The 16,244-nt window shown below is 37.9% G+C and overlaps 2 long non-coding RNA genes and 1 pseudogene across 2 annotated transcripts in view; 1 reads left to right on the top strand and 2 right to left on the bottom strand.

Moving 5' to 3' along the window:
* FTX (FTX transcript, XIST regulator) overlaps positions 1-16,244 on the top strand; it is a 265,439-nt gene that overhangs the window by 208,949 nt on the left and 40,246 nt on the right. The gene's annotated exons all lie outside the window — the stretch shown is intronic.
* AARSD1P1 (AARSD1 pseudogene 1) lies at positions 13,730-15,369 on the bottom strand (annotated as a pseudogene).
* The window catches only part of JPX (JPX transcript, XIST activator), a 126,061-nt gene continuing 124,058 nt past the window's right edge, over positions 14,242-16,244 (bottom strand). Inside the window, exon 5 of the long non-coding RNA NR_024582.1 lies at positions 14,242-15,457. This is a non-coding gene — a long non-coding RNA (JPX transcript, XIST activator). The remainder of the gene's footprint in view (positions 15,458-16,244) is intronic.

Below are 16,244 nucleotides of genomic sequence, written 5' to 3'. Positions count from 1 at the left end.
TCTATTTTTTTTTTTTTTTTGTAGAAGCCTTATTTTCCCCCTTTTCCTTTTTCTACTTTTCACCACCCAGTTGCTGTAGGATTCTTCCGTTTTCCTTTGGCATCTTTTGTCATTATCCAGAACCTACACATTTTGAAGAGTGCTGGCTTATTGTGCCTTTTAATGTGCTTCTACTTCTTTAAATCATCTTTTAAAGGCACACATCCTTTAAAATATCATCCCTATAGTCAATGTTCTGATCTTCCCAGATAGTCTTCCAGTATTTTCAGAATTGTGTTGGACAATCCTTTTGGCAGTTAATCCAGGTCACCTATAGCCCCCTTATTGGCCTCCCTCTTCTGTGTTCTCTACAGTTTTTCATGATTTTCCTTTGCTTGCCACAAATCCTTCATGAGGGGAGGAATGGGGTGAAGGTAAGCAAGATCATACACTTTGATTTGATAATTTACTTATCATTATTCACAATTATTTGCAGTTTTGGCATTTTTTGTCTTCAAGTTATGTTGGAGCATATTTTGGCTTAGGATTTAACTTTTCCCTGTGTTATTTCATATACCTTGGAGAAGAAATTTTGGGAGGTAGGTGACTATGCATTTACCCATGTCTTTGTAAACCCAGAAATATCTGCTGAGATTATTTTATAGACTACCTTAAATTTATACATCAATTTTAGAAAAAAGTTGTTTTCTTAATGTTGAATCTTCCAATCCATGTGCATTTTATATATATAATTTACTTTATCTCATCAATGTTTGTCAGTTTTAGTGTTCAGGTGTTGGACTTTTGCTTTAATTTATTTCTAAAAATTACATTATTCTGATGTTATTGTGAATGGAATTTTTTCTTAATATTTTTTGACTTGTTCATTGCTATTATATAATGATACAATCTATTTTTATGTGCTAATCATGGGTTTCTGTGACCTTGTTAAACTTGCTTATTAGTTTTGGTAGTTCTAGTAGTTTTTTGGTAAGTTCCTTGGGATTCTTTTTTCAACAACCACTTGTCCAACAGAATCTTGGGATTTTTTTTTTTTGTTTTAAAAAAACATATGAGATTCTGTCACATGAGAATAAATACAATTTTACTTCTTTTTCCAGTCCGTATGCCTTTAGTTTCTCTTTTTTGGCATGACTGTCTTGGCTGAAACTTTCGGTTGAGCATAAATGGCAAGAGTGAACATCTTTTCTTTTACTAATCTTATAGAGAAATTTCTTAGACTTTTACCATTAAGTGTGATTTTAATGGCGGTTGTTTAATAGATGATTTTACCAGTATAAGAATGCTTTCTTCTATTCCTTGTTTTTGAGAATTTTCATCATGACTGAGAATTAGATTTTTGTCAAATGATCTTTCTTCATCTATAAAGAAGTTGATGTGGTTTTTGCATTGTATTCTATTGCAGTATATTACATCAATTTTTTTGTTTGTTAAGTCAACTTTGCATTCCTGCAAAAGACTCCTTTTTTACAATATAGAAATGTTTTATACACTTCTAAATTTTATTTGCTGATATTTTATTAAGATTTCTTAAAATGTATTAGAAATATTGTTTTATAATTTTATCTTTTTGTTATGTCTTTGATAGTATTATCAGAGTAGTATAGACCTTATAAAATGAGGTGACACAAACAACAAACAACTTAAACGAGCATTTTTTAATATGTTTGTTGGCCATTTGTATATCTTCTTTTGAGAAATGTCTATTCATGTCCTTTGCTCACTTTTAAACGGGATTATTTGTTTTTAAAATGTTATTATGAACTCATAGATTCAAACATAGTTACTATGTTTCCATCCATTGCCTTTATTATTATTTTATTCTTCTAGATTTAGGGGTACAAGTGCAGTTGTGTTACATGGATATATTATGTGGTGATAATGTTGGGGTTTCAAGGGAACTCAAGAGCCAACTTCAAGAGGCTTCCACCAGACAAATATGGTACAATTTGAGCATCAATAATATCTGTTGTTTTTTGACTTTTAAATAATGGCCACTCTAACTGGGATGATTGGATTTAAAATGCAATATATATATATATATATATATATATATATATATATATATATATATATATATACACACATACATATACACACACATACATACACACACTATGGAATACTACTCAACCATACAAAAAGAATAAAATCATATGTTTTACAGCAGTACAGCTAGAACTGGAGGCATTATCCTAAGTGAAATGACTCGGAAACAGAAAGTCAAAATCCACATGTTCTCACTTAAAACTGGGAGCTAAGCAATGTGTACATGTGGACATACAGAGTGGAATAACAGACGTTGGAGACTACAAAAGGTGGGATGGTTGGGAGTGAGATGAGGGATTAAATACTACCTAATGGGTACAATGTACACTATTTGGGTGATGAGTACACTGTATTTCTTTTAAATAATAGATTCCACCAGAGATGCCACATAGGCCTGGGCTTTCATTGTGAGAAGCTTTTAAGTTTGGAATTCAACTTTTTATTTGACCGAGGCCTATTCATATGGTCTATTTTTTTAGAAACAATTGGTAATTTATGTCTTTGTCAGAATTTGTACATTTTATCTGAGTTTTATTATTTGTTGGTATAAAGATTTTCATAATATTCTTTTATAAATCTTCTAATATCTATGGGTTCTTTGATATTGTTCCCATTTTCATTCCTGATTTTGATAATTTGTGTCTTCTCTCTTTTTTCCTTATTCATCATGAACTTTTATCAATTTTGTTGATCTTCTCCAAGAATCAAGATTAGTTTTAAGTATTATTTTTTCTATATATTTGTGTTTTCAATTTTACTCGTTTATTTTTTGTTCTTTATTATTTTCTTCCTCCTACTTATTTTGTGTTTGGTGTGATGCTATATTTTCTTTACTTTTTTTTTTTTTTTTGAGATGGAGTCTCACTCTCTGACCCAGACTAGAGTGCAGTGGCATGATCTTGGCTCACTGAAGCCTCTGCCTCCCGGGTTCCAGCGATTCTCCTGCCTCAGCTTCCTGGGTAGCTGGGATTACAGGCACACACCACCATGCCTGGCTAATTTTTGTATTTTTAGTAGCGATGGTATTTCACCATGTTGGCCAGGCTGGTCTCAAACTCCTGACCTCAGGTGATCTACCCACCTCAACCTCCGAAAGTGCTAGGATTACAGGCATGAGCCACTGTGCCCAGCCTGTTTTCATATTCTTAAAAGCTTAGAATATTGATTGTAGATTTTCCTTCTTTAAACATTTTATTTTTGTTTTTTGTAAGGCGGACCAATATGGCAGAATAAAGGCTCCACTGATCATTTCACCTACAAGGACACCAATTTAACAACAATCTACACAGCAAAAAAACACCTTCATAAGAACCAAAAATCAAGTGAGCACTCATAGTACCTGGTTTTAACTTCATATTGCTGAAAGAGGCACTGAAAAGATAGCAAAAAACAGACCTGACTGGAGTCACCAACTCCATTCCCTCCCCCACCCTGTGGCAGTGCAGCATGGTACAGAGAGCATCTCTGGGCACTGTGGGAGGGAGAACACAGTTGTGAGGCATTGAATTCAGTACCAGAGTAGAGTAGAAAGGAAATAAAACTGAAAATCAGTAACAAGAGAGATTTTGGAAACTACACAAATGCATGGAAATTGAATAATATGCTCCCAAATTACCAGCAGGTCAATGAAGAAATTAAGAAGGAAATTGAAAAACTTCTTGAAACAAATGATAATGAATACCCAATATACAAAAACCCATGGGATACAGCAAAAGCAGTACTAAGAAGGAGGTTTGTATTTATAAGTGCCTATATCAAAAAAGAGGAAAAACTTCAAACATCTTATAAATCCTGTCAAAAATTAAAAGCAAAGTTATAAACCAAAATTACAATATTAATTACAAAATTACAAATTACAATATTACAATAATATTTGGTTATGTATCTATATGGACATCTTTACCTGAGACCTTTTACTGTCAGATAGCTTTGTGTTACTGTCAAGTATCTTTTTATTTTAACTTGAAGGACTTTCTTTGCATTTCTCATAGAGCAAGTCTAATGATAATGAATTACCTCAGCTTTTATTTATCTGGGAATGTCTTAATTTCTACCTCATTTTTATTTTTAAAGTATAGTGTTGATGGTTGTAGAATTCTCATTAGACAGATTTTTTCTTTTAATACTTTAAGAATGTCATCCCACTGTCTTCTGGACTGTAAGGTTTCTGCTGAGTAATCTGCTGATATTGGAGAATCCCTTGAATGTGATGAGTCACTTTTCTCTTGGTGCTTTCAGGATTTTCTCATTGTCTTTTGCTTTTAACAGCTTGACTATAAAGTGTCTAGGTGTATTTCTGGTTTATCCTACTTGGAGTTCATTGAGCTTCTTGAATTTGTACATTCATATCTTTCCTCAGATTTGGTAAACTTTCAGCCATATTTCTTCAAATAATCTTTCCTTTTTCTGTATCTCTTCTTCTTCTGGAACTCATACAATGTGTATATTAGGCCACTCAATTATGTCTTATAAATCCCTTTAGGCCCTGTTCACTTTCTTCCATTTCTTTTCTTTTTTTTTCTGACTCAATGATTTCAAATGACCTATGTTGAAACTCACTGATTCTTTTTTCTCCCTGTTTGAGTCTGCTGATAAATACCTCTAGTGAATTTTTCAATTCTTTTATTGTATTTTTAGCTCCAGAATTTTTTATATAGTTTCTATCTTTTTGTTTATATTCTCATTTTGTTCATAAAATGTTTTCCAGGCTTCCTTTAGTTCTTTGTTTCTATTTTCCTTTGGCTTTTTGAATATATGTAAGACAGTTGTTTTAAAGTTTCTGTCTAATAAGTCTGTTGAATGTCTCATCAGAGACTGTGTCTAGAAATTTAATTTATTCATTTGAATGGCCATCTTCCCCTATTTCTTTATATTCTTTGTCATCTTTTGTTGGAAATGGAACATTACAATATAACATCTATCCCAGTCTTTGAAGACTGCTATGAAGGCCTTTACTAACTAGGGGGTTGTTGAGCTTTGAGATCAGTCAGGAGTCAATGCTTAAGGGCTTCCCTGGTCTTTTGTGGGTATGAGTTCTGTCTGGGCTTCTGTATGTGTGCTGTATTTCCCCCCAGTTTACCTGAGATTATTAATATTTAAAACAGTATCACCCGAGGTTCTTCTCTGAGCCTTAGATATGCCATTATATTCCTCTACCCACAATCTATTGCTACCAGTCATGTGTGACTCTGTAGTACTTCTTCAGTATCACATGCTGCTGCACCTGCCACTCCCTTCTTCACCTTTCAGTCTAATATTCAAACTATGCACTGTTATCTCTCTGAGCTCCAAGACAGGTAAGACACATACCAGTCCCTTGGACACAGGCAATAACTTTACAATTAGCACTCTGCTTTTTCCATTTTAATGGAGGGGACCAGGGAGTGAGCCTCTTTCTTCTGACCATTTTGCTTTGTGCCAGTGAAGTGGTGGGGCAAGGGTGAGTAAAAACACCATGAAATTGCCTACGATTTTGAATGTGGCTTTTTCTTGACTGGGCATTTGTTTGTTTGTTTGGTTGTTTCAGTAGTATCTTGTCATCTAAGAAAAGAGAACAAATGAGGGTGGATAGTTGATTAAATCTTGATTTTTCTGACCATGCCTGTTTTATGAATTTGATATGGTAACTATGAAATAGTGTATAGAATTGTAAAACAAAACTATTTTTTAAAAAAAAATCTCTAAAACTCAAAAGAAAAATGAAATAATTGAATTTAACCATGTGACAGGTTGATGGCTTAACCACTCAGAAAGTTCTTTGAATGACTTTAAAACATAGTAATTTGTCATTTGACTATACGTTTTTAACAAAACATATCCTAAGTACAAAAAGAGCTACCAAAACAAAAATGAAACAAATGTAAAAACACTAAAGTGTTTAATTTTGTGGTGTGTGTATATGTGCATGTGTTTGGATAATGGAAATGTGCAACATTGTTAATATCGATAAAATTTGAATTTTCAATTTAAGAGAAAGGAGATACAAAAGTAACATCAATGAGGCTATGCAATCAGTATAATATCATGATGTATATTGTCATCACATACAAATGTATTCACGGCGGCTGCTGGCAATATGGCTGAATAGTAACAGCTCCAGTCTGCAGCTCCCAGTGAGACCAATGCAGAAGGCAGATAATTTCTGCATTTTCAACTGAGGTACCCTGTTCATTTTATTGGGACAGGTTAGGCAGTGGGTGCAGCCCATGGAGGGTGAGCAGAAGCAGGGTGGGGCATCACCTCACCCAGGAAGTGCAAGGAGCAGGGTAGCCTCCCCTTCCCAGCCAAGGGAAACCATGAGGGACTGTGCTATCCAGCCTAGATACTTTGTTTTTCCCACAGTTTTTGCAATTCACAGACCAGGAGATTCCCTCATGTGCCTACACCACCAGGGCCCTGGGTTTCAAGCACAAAACTGGGCGGCTGTTTGGGCAGACACCAAGCTAGCTGTAGGAGTTTGTTTGTTTGTTTGTTTTTCATACCCTAGTGGTGCCTGGAACCCCAGCAAGATAGACCCATTCACTCCCCTGGAAAGGGGGCTGAAGCCAGGGAGCCAAGTGGTCTCGCTCAGCAGGTCCCACTCCCACAGAGCCCAGCAAGCTAAGAACCACTGGCTTGAAATTCTTGCGCCAGCACAGCAGTCTGAAGTCGACCTGAGATGATTGAGCTTGGTGGGGGGAGGGGCGTCCATCATTACTGAGGCTAGAGTAGGTGATTTACCCCTCACAGTGCTAAGGACTAGGTGGAACTCAACACAGTGTGACAAAGTGGCTGTGGCCAGACTGCTCCTCTAGATTCCTCTTCACTGGGCAGGGCATCTCTGAAAGAAAGGCAGCAGCCCCAGTCAGGGCTGTAAATAAAACTCCCATCTCCCTGAGACAGAGCACTTGGGAGAAAGGGTGGCTGTGGGCACAGCTTCAGTGAACTTAAATGTTTCTGCCTGCCAGCTCTGAAGAGAGCAGCAAATCCTGACAAGGAGGGTTCTCCCAGCACAGCACTTGAGTTCTGCTAAGGGACAGACTGCCTCTTCAAGTGGGTCCCTGACACCCATGCCTCCTGACTGGGAGACACGTCCCAACAGGGGTTGACAAACACCTCATACAAGAGAGCTCTGGCTGGCATCAGGCCAGTGCCCCACTGGGATGAAGCTTTCAGAGGAAGAACTAGGCAGCAATCTTTGCTGTTCTGCAGCCTCTGCTGGTGATAACCAGGCAAATTGAGTATAGAGTGGATCTCCAGCAAACTGTAGCAGACCTGAAGAAAGGGGCTTGACTGTTAGGAGGAAAACTAACAAACGGAAAGCAATAACATCAACATCAACAAAAAGAACCCCCACACAGAAATCCCATCCAAAGGTCATCAACCTCAAAGATCAAATGTAGATAAATCCCTGAAGATGAGGAAAAGCCAGCACAAAAATGATGAAAATTCCAAAAACCAGAATGCCCCTTCTCCTTCAAATGATCACAAATCCTCTCCAGCAAGGTCAAAAAACTGGACAGGGAATGAGCTTGACAAATTGACAGAAGTAGGCTACAGAAGGTGGATAATAACAAACTCCTCTGACCTAAAGGAATATGTTCTAACCCAATGCAAGGAAGCTAAGAACCTTGACAAAGGTTACAGGAAATGCTAACTAGAATAACCAGTTTAGAGAAAAACGTAAATGACCTGATGGAGCTGAAAAACACAGCACGAGAACTTTGTGAAGCATATACAAGAATCAACAGCCGAATTGATAAGTGACAGAAAGGATATCAGAGATTGAACATCAACTTACTGAAATGAGGCATGAAGACAAGATTAGAGAAGAAAGATTGAAACAGAACAAACAAAGCCTCCAAGAAATATGGGACTATGTGAAAAGGCCAAATCTACGATTGATTGGGGTCCCTGAAAGTGACAGGAAGAATGGAACCAAGTTGGAAAACAGACTTCAGGATATTATCCAGGAGAACTTCCCCAACCTAGCAAGACAGGCCAAGATTCAAATTCAGGAAATACAGAGAACACCACAAAGATACTCGTCGAGAAGAGCAACTCCAAGACACATAATGTTCAGATTCTCCAAGGTTGAAATGAAGAAAAAAATGTTAAGCACAGCCAGAGAGAAAGATCAGGTTACCTACAAAGGGAAGCCCGTCAGACTAACAGCAGATCTCGCTGCAGAAACCCTAAAAGCCAGAAGAGAGTGAGGGCCAATATTCAACATTCTTAAAGAAAAGAATTTTCAATCCAGAATTTCATATCCAGCCAAACTAAGTTTCATGAGTGAGGGAGAAATAAAATCCTTTACAGACAAGCAACTGCTACGGGATTTTGTCAGCAGCAGGCCTGCCTTACAAGAGCTTCTGAAGGAAGCACTAAATATGGAAAGAAAAAACCGGTACCAGCCACTGCAAACACACCACATTATAAAGACCAACGACACTATGAAGAAACTGCATCAACTAATGTGCAAAATAACCAGCTAGCATCATAATGACAGGATCAAATTCACACATAACAATATTAACCTTAAATGTAAACAAGCTAAATGCCCCAATTAAAAGACACAGACTGGCAAGGTAAATAAAGAGTCAAGACCCATCAGTGTATCCAGTATCCTGTATCCAGAAGACCCATCTCACATTCAAAGACACACATAGGCTCAAAATAAGGGGATGGAGGAATATTTACCAAGCAAACGGACAGCAAAGAAAAGCAGGTTTTGCAATCCTAGTCTCTGATAAAACAGGCTTTAAGCCAACAAAGATTTAAAAAAGACAAAGAAGAGCATTAAATAATGGTAAAGGGATCAATGCAAAGAGAAGAACTAACTATCCTAAATATATATGCACCCAAACAGGAGCACCCAGATTCATAAAACAACTTCTTAGAGACCTACAAAGAGATGTAGACTCCCACACAATAATAGTGGGAGACTTTAACACCCCACTGTCAATAATAGAGAGATCAACAAGACAGAAAATTAACAAGGATATTCAGGACCTGAACTCAGCTCTGGACCAAGTGGATCTCATAGATATCTACAGAACTCTCCACCCCAAATCAACAATATATATTCTTCTCAGCACCACATAGCACTTGTTCTAAAATCGACAACATAATTAGAAGTGAAACACTCCTCAGCAAATGCAAAGGAATGGAAATCATAACACGCACCCTCCCAGACCACAGTGCAATCAATTAGAACTCAGAATTAAGAAACTCACTCAAAACCACACAACTACATGGAAACTGAACAACCTTCTCCGGAATGACTACTGGGTAACTAACAAAATTAAGGCAGAAATAACAAAGCTCTTTGAAACCAATGAGAACAAAGGACAATGTACTAGAATCTCTGAAACACAGCTAAAGCAGTATTTAGAAGGAAATTTATAGCACTAAATGCCCACATCAGAAATTGGGAAAGTGGGAAAGATCTAAAAGTGGGAAAGTGGGAAAGATCTAAAATCAGAAAGTGGGAAAGATCTAAAATCGACACCGTAACATCACAATTAAAAGAACTAGAGAAGCAAGAGCAAACAAATTCAAAAGCTATCAGAAGACAAGAAATAACTAAGATCAGAGCAGAAATGAAAGACATAGAGATATGAAAAGCCTTTCAAAAAATCAATGAATCCAGGAGCTGGTTTTATGAAAAGATTAACAAAATAGATAGGCTGCTTGCCAGAATAATAAAGAAGAAAAGAGAGAATAATCAAAGAGATACAATAAAAAATGATAAAAGGGATATCACCACTGATCATACAGATATATAAACTACCATCAGAGGATACTATAAACACCTCTATGCAAGTAAACTAGAAAATCTAGAAGAAATGGATAAATTTCTGGACACGTAATCCCTTCCAAGACCAAACCAGGAAGATGTCAAATCTCTGAATAGACCATTAACAAGTTCTGAAATTTAGGCAGTAATTATTAGCCTACCAACAAAAAAGAGCCCATGACCAGACTGATTCACAGCCAAATTCTACCAGAGGTACAAAGAGGAGATGGTACCATTCCCTCTGAAACTATTCCAAACAATAGAAAAGAAGGACTCCTCCTTAACTCATTTTATGAGGCCAGCATCATCCTTATACCAAAACCTGACAGAGACACAACAAAAAAAGAAAATTTCAGGCCAATATCCCTGATGAACAGCAATGCAAAAATCCTCAAAATACTGGCAAACCTAATGCAGCAGCACATCAAAAAGCTTATCCACCATGATCAAGTCAGCTTCATCCCTGGGATGCAAGGATGGTTCAACATATGCAAATCAATAAATGTAATCCATCACATAAAAAGAAGCAATGACAAAAACCACATGATTATCTCAATAGATGCAGAAAAGGCCTTCGATAAATTCAACACCCCTTTATGCTAAAAACTCTCAATAAACTAGGTATTCATGGAATGTATCTCAAAATAAAAAGAGCTATTTATGACAAACCCATAGCCAATATCATACTAAATGGGCAAAAGCTGGAAGCATTCTCTTTGAAAACTGGCACAAGACAAGGATGCTCTCTCTCACCACTCCTATTCAACGTAGTTTTGGAAGTTCTGGCCAGAGCAATCAGGCAACAGAAAGAAATAAAGGTATTCAAATAGGAAGTGAGGAAGTCACATTGTCTCTGCTTGAAGACAACATGATTGTATATTTAGAAAACCCTATCATCTCAGCCCAAAAACTCCTTAAGCTGATAAACAACTTCAGCAAAGTCTCAGGATACAAAATCAATGTGCAGAAATCACAGGCATTCCTATACACAAATAATAGTCAAGCAGAGAGCCAAATCATGAGTGAACTCCCATTCACAATTGCTACAAAGAAAATAAAATACCTAGGAATACAATTTGCAAGGGACATGAAGGACATCTTAAGGAGAACTACAAACCACTGCTCAAGGAAATAAGAGAGGACAGAAAAAAATGGAAAAACTTTCCATGGTCATGGATAGGAAGAATCAATATCGTGAAAATGGCCATACTGCCCAAAGTAATTTATTGATTCAATGCTATTCCCATCAAGCTACCATTGACTTTCTTCACAGAATTAGAAAAAGCTACTTTAAATTTCATTTGGAACCAAAAGAGATCCCATATAGCCAAGACAATCCCAAGCAAAAAGAACAAAGCTGGAGGCATCACGCTACCTGACTTCAAACTATACTACAAGGCTACAGTAACCAAAACAGCATGATACTGGTACCAAAACAGATATATAGACCAATGGAACAGAACAGAGGCCTCAGAAATAACACCACACATCTACAATGATCTGACCTTTGACAAACCTGACAAAAACAAGCAATGGGGAAAAAATTCCCTATTTAATAAGTGGTGCTGGGAAAACTGGCTACCCATATGCAGAAAACTGAAACTGGACCCCTTCCTTACACCTTATACAAAAATTAACTCAAGATAGATTAAAGACTTAAATGTAAAACCTAAAACTATCAAAACCCTAGAAGAAAACCTAGGCAATACCATTCAGGACATAGGCATGGGCAAAGACTTCATGACTAAAACACCAAAAGCAATGGCAACAAAAGCCAAAATTGACAAATGCAATCTAATTAAACTAAAGAGCTTCTGCACAGCAAAAGAAAATATCATCAGAGTGAACAGGCAACCTACAGAATGGGAGAAGCTTTTTGCAATCTATCCAGCTGACAAAGGTCTAATATCTAGAATCTACAAGGAACTTAAACAAATTTACAAGAAAAAAACAACCCCATGAAAAAGTGGGTGAAGGATATGAACAGACACTTCTCAAAAGAAGGCATATATATGGCAAACAAACATATGAAAAAAAGCTCATCATCACTGTTCATTAGAGAAATGCAAATCAAAATTAGAAAATGAGATACCATTTCATGCCAGCTAGAGTGGTGATCATTAAAAAGTCTGGAAGCAACAGATGCTGGCAAGGATGCGGAGAAATAGGAACAATTTTACAATCCTGGTGGGAGTATAAATTAGTTCAAACATTGTGGAAGACTGTGTGGCGATTCCTCAAGGATCTAATACCAGAAATACCATTTGATCCACCAATCCCATTACTGGGTATATACCCAAAGGATTATAAATCATTCTACTATAAAGACACATGCACACATATGTTTATTGCAGCACTGTTCACAATAGCAAAGACTTGGAACCAACCCAAATGCCCATCAATGATAGACTGGGTAACAAAAATGTGGTTCATATACAACACGGAATACTATGCAGCCATAAAAAAGATGAGTTCATGTCCTTTGCAGGAACATAAATAAAGCTAGAAACCATCATCCTCAGCAAAGTAACACAGGAACAGAAAACCAAACACCATGTTTTCACTCATAAGTGGGAGTTGAACAATGAGAACACATGGACACAGGGAGGGGAACATCATACACCAGGGCTTGTCAGCGGGTGGGGGGAAAGGGGAGGGAGAGCATTAGGACAAATACCTAATGCAGGCAGGGCTTAAAACCTAGGTGATGGGTTGATAGGTGCAGCAAATCACCATGGCACATGTATACCTATGTAACAAACCTGCACATTCAGCACATGTATCCCAGAACTTAAAGTAAAATAAAAAAAGTATTCCTTAAAAAATTTCTTGAAATAATTACCAATCCAGTAGGAATGAGCACCCTTAGCGACCCAGATTGGGATCCCTAACTATCTCTTCTCTCCAAAGGAATGAGGGCCTGTTCATCAAATGGCTGATTTCACAGCTAGAATTTATTTTCATATTGAATACAAGGAGAACAACTATATGCCAATAAGTTGGAAAATCTAGAAGAAATGGACAAATTCCTAGACACATACAGCCTACCAAGATTGAACCAGTAGAAATCCAAAACCTCAGCAGACCAATAACAAATGATGAGATTGAAGTCATAATAAAAATTCTCCCAGGTTTAAAAAAAAAAAGAAAGAAAGAAAGAAAAAAAAAAAAAAACCTGGGGCCCTATGGCTTAATTGCTGAATTCCACCAAACATTTAAAGAACTAATATCAATCCTACTCGACCTCTCCGGAAGGAAGGAAAATATAGTCCAATATCTCTGATGGATATTAATACAAAAATCCTCAACAAAATACTAGCAAACTGAATTCAACAATGCATTAGAAAGGTCATTCATCATGAACAAGTAAGATTTATTCCTGAGACACAAGGTGGTTCAACATACACAAATCAATGTGATACATCAATATCAACAGAATGAAGGATAAAAACCTTATGATCATTTCAATGGATGCTGAAAAAGCATTTGATAAAATTCAACATCCCTTCATGATAGAAACCTCAAAAAGCTGGGGATAGAAGGAACATACCTCAACGTCATAAAAGCCACATGCAGCAGACCCACAGCTTGTATCATACTGAATGGCGAAAAACTGAATGCCTTTCCTCTAAGATCTGGAACACAACCAGGATGCCCACTATCACCACTGTTATTCAACATAGTACTGGAAGTCCTAGGAAGAGCAATGAGTCAAGACAAAGATGTAAAGGGCTTCCAAATTTGAAAGGAAGGAGTCAAATTATCCTTGTTTGCAGATGATATGATCTTATAGTTGGAAAAACCTAAAGACTTCACCAAAAACTATTAGAATTGATAAACAAATTCAGTAAAATTACAGGATAGAAAATTAACATAAAAAAACAGTAGCACTTCTTTTTTTCAAGTCAAGCTATTTAATTATCCAAAAGACTCCTTCTGTGGTAAGAGGAGGTGAGCACCCTGAGCCCTCACTTCCTAGCACTCTGTGTGCTGATGTAGTTCTGGAGAAGTGATAGCACCTCTGCCTGTTGGCTCATGTTGGTGACTTTGCCCTGAAAGCAGCCTTTCTTCCCTGCTCCTTTGCCTTCTAGGACCTCATCCACCCTGGGCCCCAGGGTCTCCATGGTCTCAGGTGGCCCTGCCAGTAAAAAGAGCCCAGCACCTTTCTCATCACCCATGTTTAAGAACAGGAAGGAATCCTCTGACCCAATCTCATTGGCAACAATATTCATGAACTATGAATCACCCTCCTTCCTGTGTAATATGACCACATCCCCCGAGTCTGGGTTGGTCCTGAGGCTATGGGCAATGTGCACAGCTGAGTCTCTGAGCAGATTCAGGTTGTTCTTCTGCAGGAGCTTGGTGGAGTTCTGGAACTTTTTCTTTTTTATTTTATTTTATTTTATTTTATTTTATTTTATTTATTTATTTATTTATTTATTTATTTATTTATTTATTTAGAGACAGAGTCTCGCTCTGTCGCCCAGGCTGGAGTGCAGTGGCGTGATCTCAGCTCACTGCAAGTTCCACCTCCTGGGTTCACGCCATTCTCCTGCCTCAGCCTCCCAAGTAGCTAGGACTACAGGCGCCCGCCACACGCCCAGCTAATTTTTTATATTTTTAGTAGAGACGGGGTTTCACCGTGTTAGCCAGGATGGTCTCGATCTCCTGACCTCGTGATCTGCCCGCCTCGGCCTCCCAAAGTGCTGGGATTACAGGCAGTAGCCACCATGCCTGGCTACATTCTGGAGCTTTTTCACTGCTTCCATGTGATCCTCTGCTCCACACTTAAGCAGAGTGATTCAGTGCTCTTTCAGTTTCATGACTTCTCTTCATCCATTTCAGCATCTGGTTCCCAGCCAGAAATATCAGTTTGATTTTATTCCTTTTCCTCTTCTCGGTGCCTAATCTTAATGACTGGAAAGTCACGGAGATTGCTCATGGGGATCCCACAGCACATGTTGGAATCAACACCCTTGATGGTAACAATTCCAATGGGCCCAGCATGATCATCTGGCAGGCCCCAGCCTCTCACCTGCTCCGCCTCAGGATCATTCAGGCTCAGTTCTCATACTTTGTTGAGCAGCTGATCTCTGATATTTTTATTGACACTCTTTTCAGTGGCGGTTATTTTCTCTGCATTCACAGAGGGGCTTTCCAGCATCACACTCCGAAATTTCCCTAACTCCCATGATGTTGTCTTTAACTCAAACAGATAATCAGCAACTGCTGTGATGAGATGCTGCCTTTAATGCTGCTGCATGTGGTCAAACCTCCACTCCCAGTCTACCCAGACCAGGACTTGGCTTCCAGGATCCAGGGGTGTCTGTGTGAAATGATCAGCCTGGGCCCCCAAGCAGGTCACTCCCAGCACAGAGATGTCATTGATTGTACCACCGTCATCAGGCTGTCTTCCGCCCTCAGGGAAAAGTAGCATGTCTTCCAGCACCATATGACAACTGCTCAGCACTTATTTCTTGTCATTGCTCCCTTCTGACTGCAGCTCCGTGGGATCACAGGAGATTATGGTGGTGGTGGACTCCCAGGCATTGCTATTCTCCTGACACCAGAACACCATCATGGTCATCTCTGAGGCATCAGTAGTGTTTCTATATGCCAACAGTGAACAATCTGAAAAAGATATTAAAAAGTAATCTCATTTACAATAGCCACACATAAAATTAAATACCTAGGAATTAACCAAAGAAGTTAAATATCTCTATAATGAAAACTATAAAACACTGATGAATGAAATTGATGAGATCACCAAAAATGAAAAAATATTCCATGTTCATGGATTGGAAGAATCAATATTGTTAAAATGTCCATACTACCCAAAGCAATCTACAGATTCAGTGCAATCCCTATAAAAATACCAATGACATTCTTCACAGAAATATGATCCTAAAATGTATACAGAACCACAAAGACCCAGAATAGCCAAAGCTATCCTAAGCAAAAAGAACAAAACTGGAGGAATCACATTACCTGACTTTAAATAATACTACAGAGCTGTTGTAACCAAAACAGCATGGTACTGGCATAAAAGCAGACACACAGACCAATGGAACAGTACAGACAACCCAGAAACAAATCCACACACAAACAGTGAACCCATTTGTGACAAAGGTGCCAAGAATATGCACTCGGGAAAACACAGTCTTTACTCCACAAGCACAAGCAACCAAAGCAAAAATGGACAAATGGGATTACGTCAAGTTTAAAAGCTTCTACACAGCAAAAGATACTATCAACCAAGTGAATAGACACCCCAAAGAATGGGAGAAAATATTTGCAAACTACCCATCTGACAAGGGATTCATAACCAGGATTTATAAGGAGCTCAAAGAACTCTACTGGAGAAAATCTAGTAATTCCAGTCAAAAATGGGCAAAATATTTGAATAGGCATTTCTCAA

This window comes from Homo sapiens, chromosome X (assembly GCF_000001405.40).
Source record: "Homo sapiens chromosome X, GRCh38.p14 Primary Assembly".
In the NCBI taxonomy this organism is placed as follows: Eukaryota; Metazoa; Chordata; class Mammalia; order Primates; family Hominidae; genus Homo; species Homo sapiens.
Note: the sequence above shows the minus strand (reverse complement) of the source record. Positions and strands in the feature narration are given on the sequence as shown.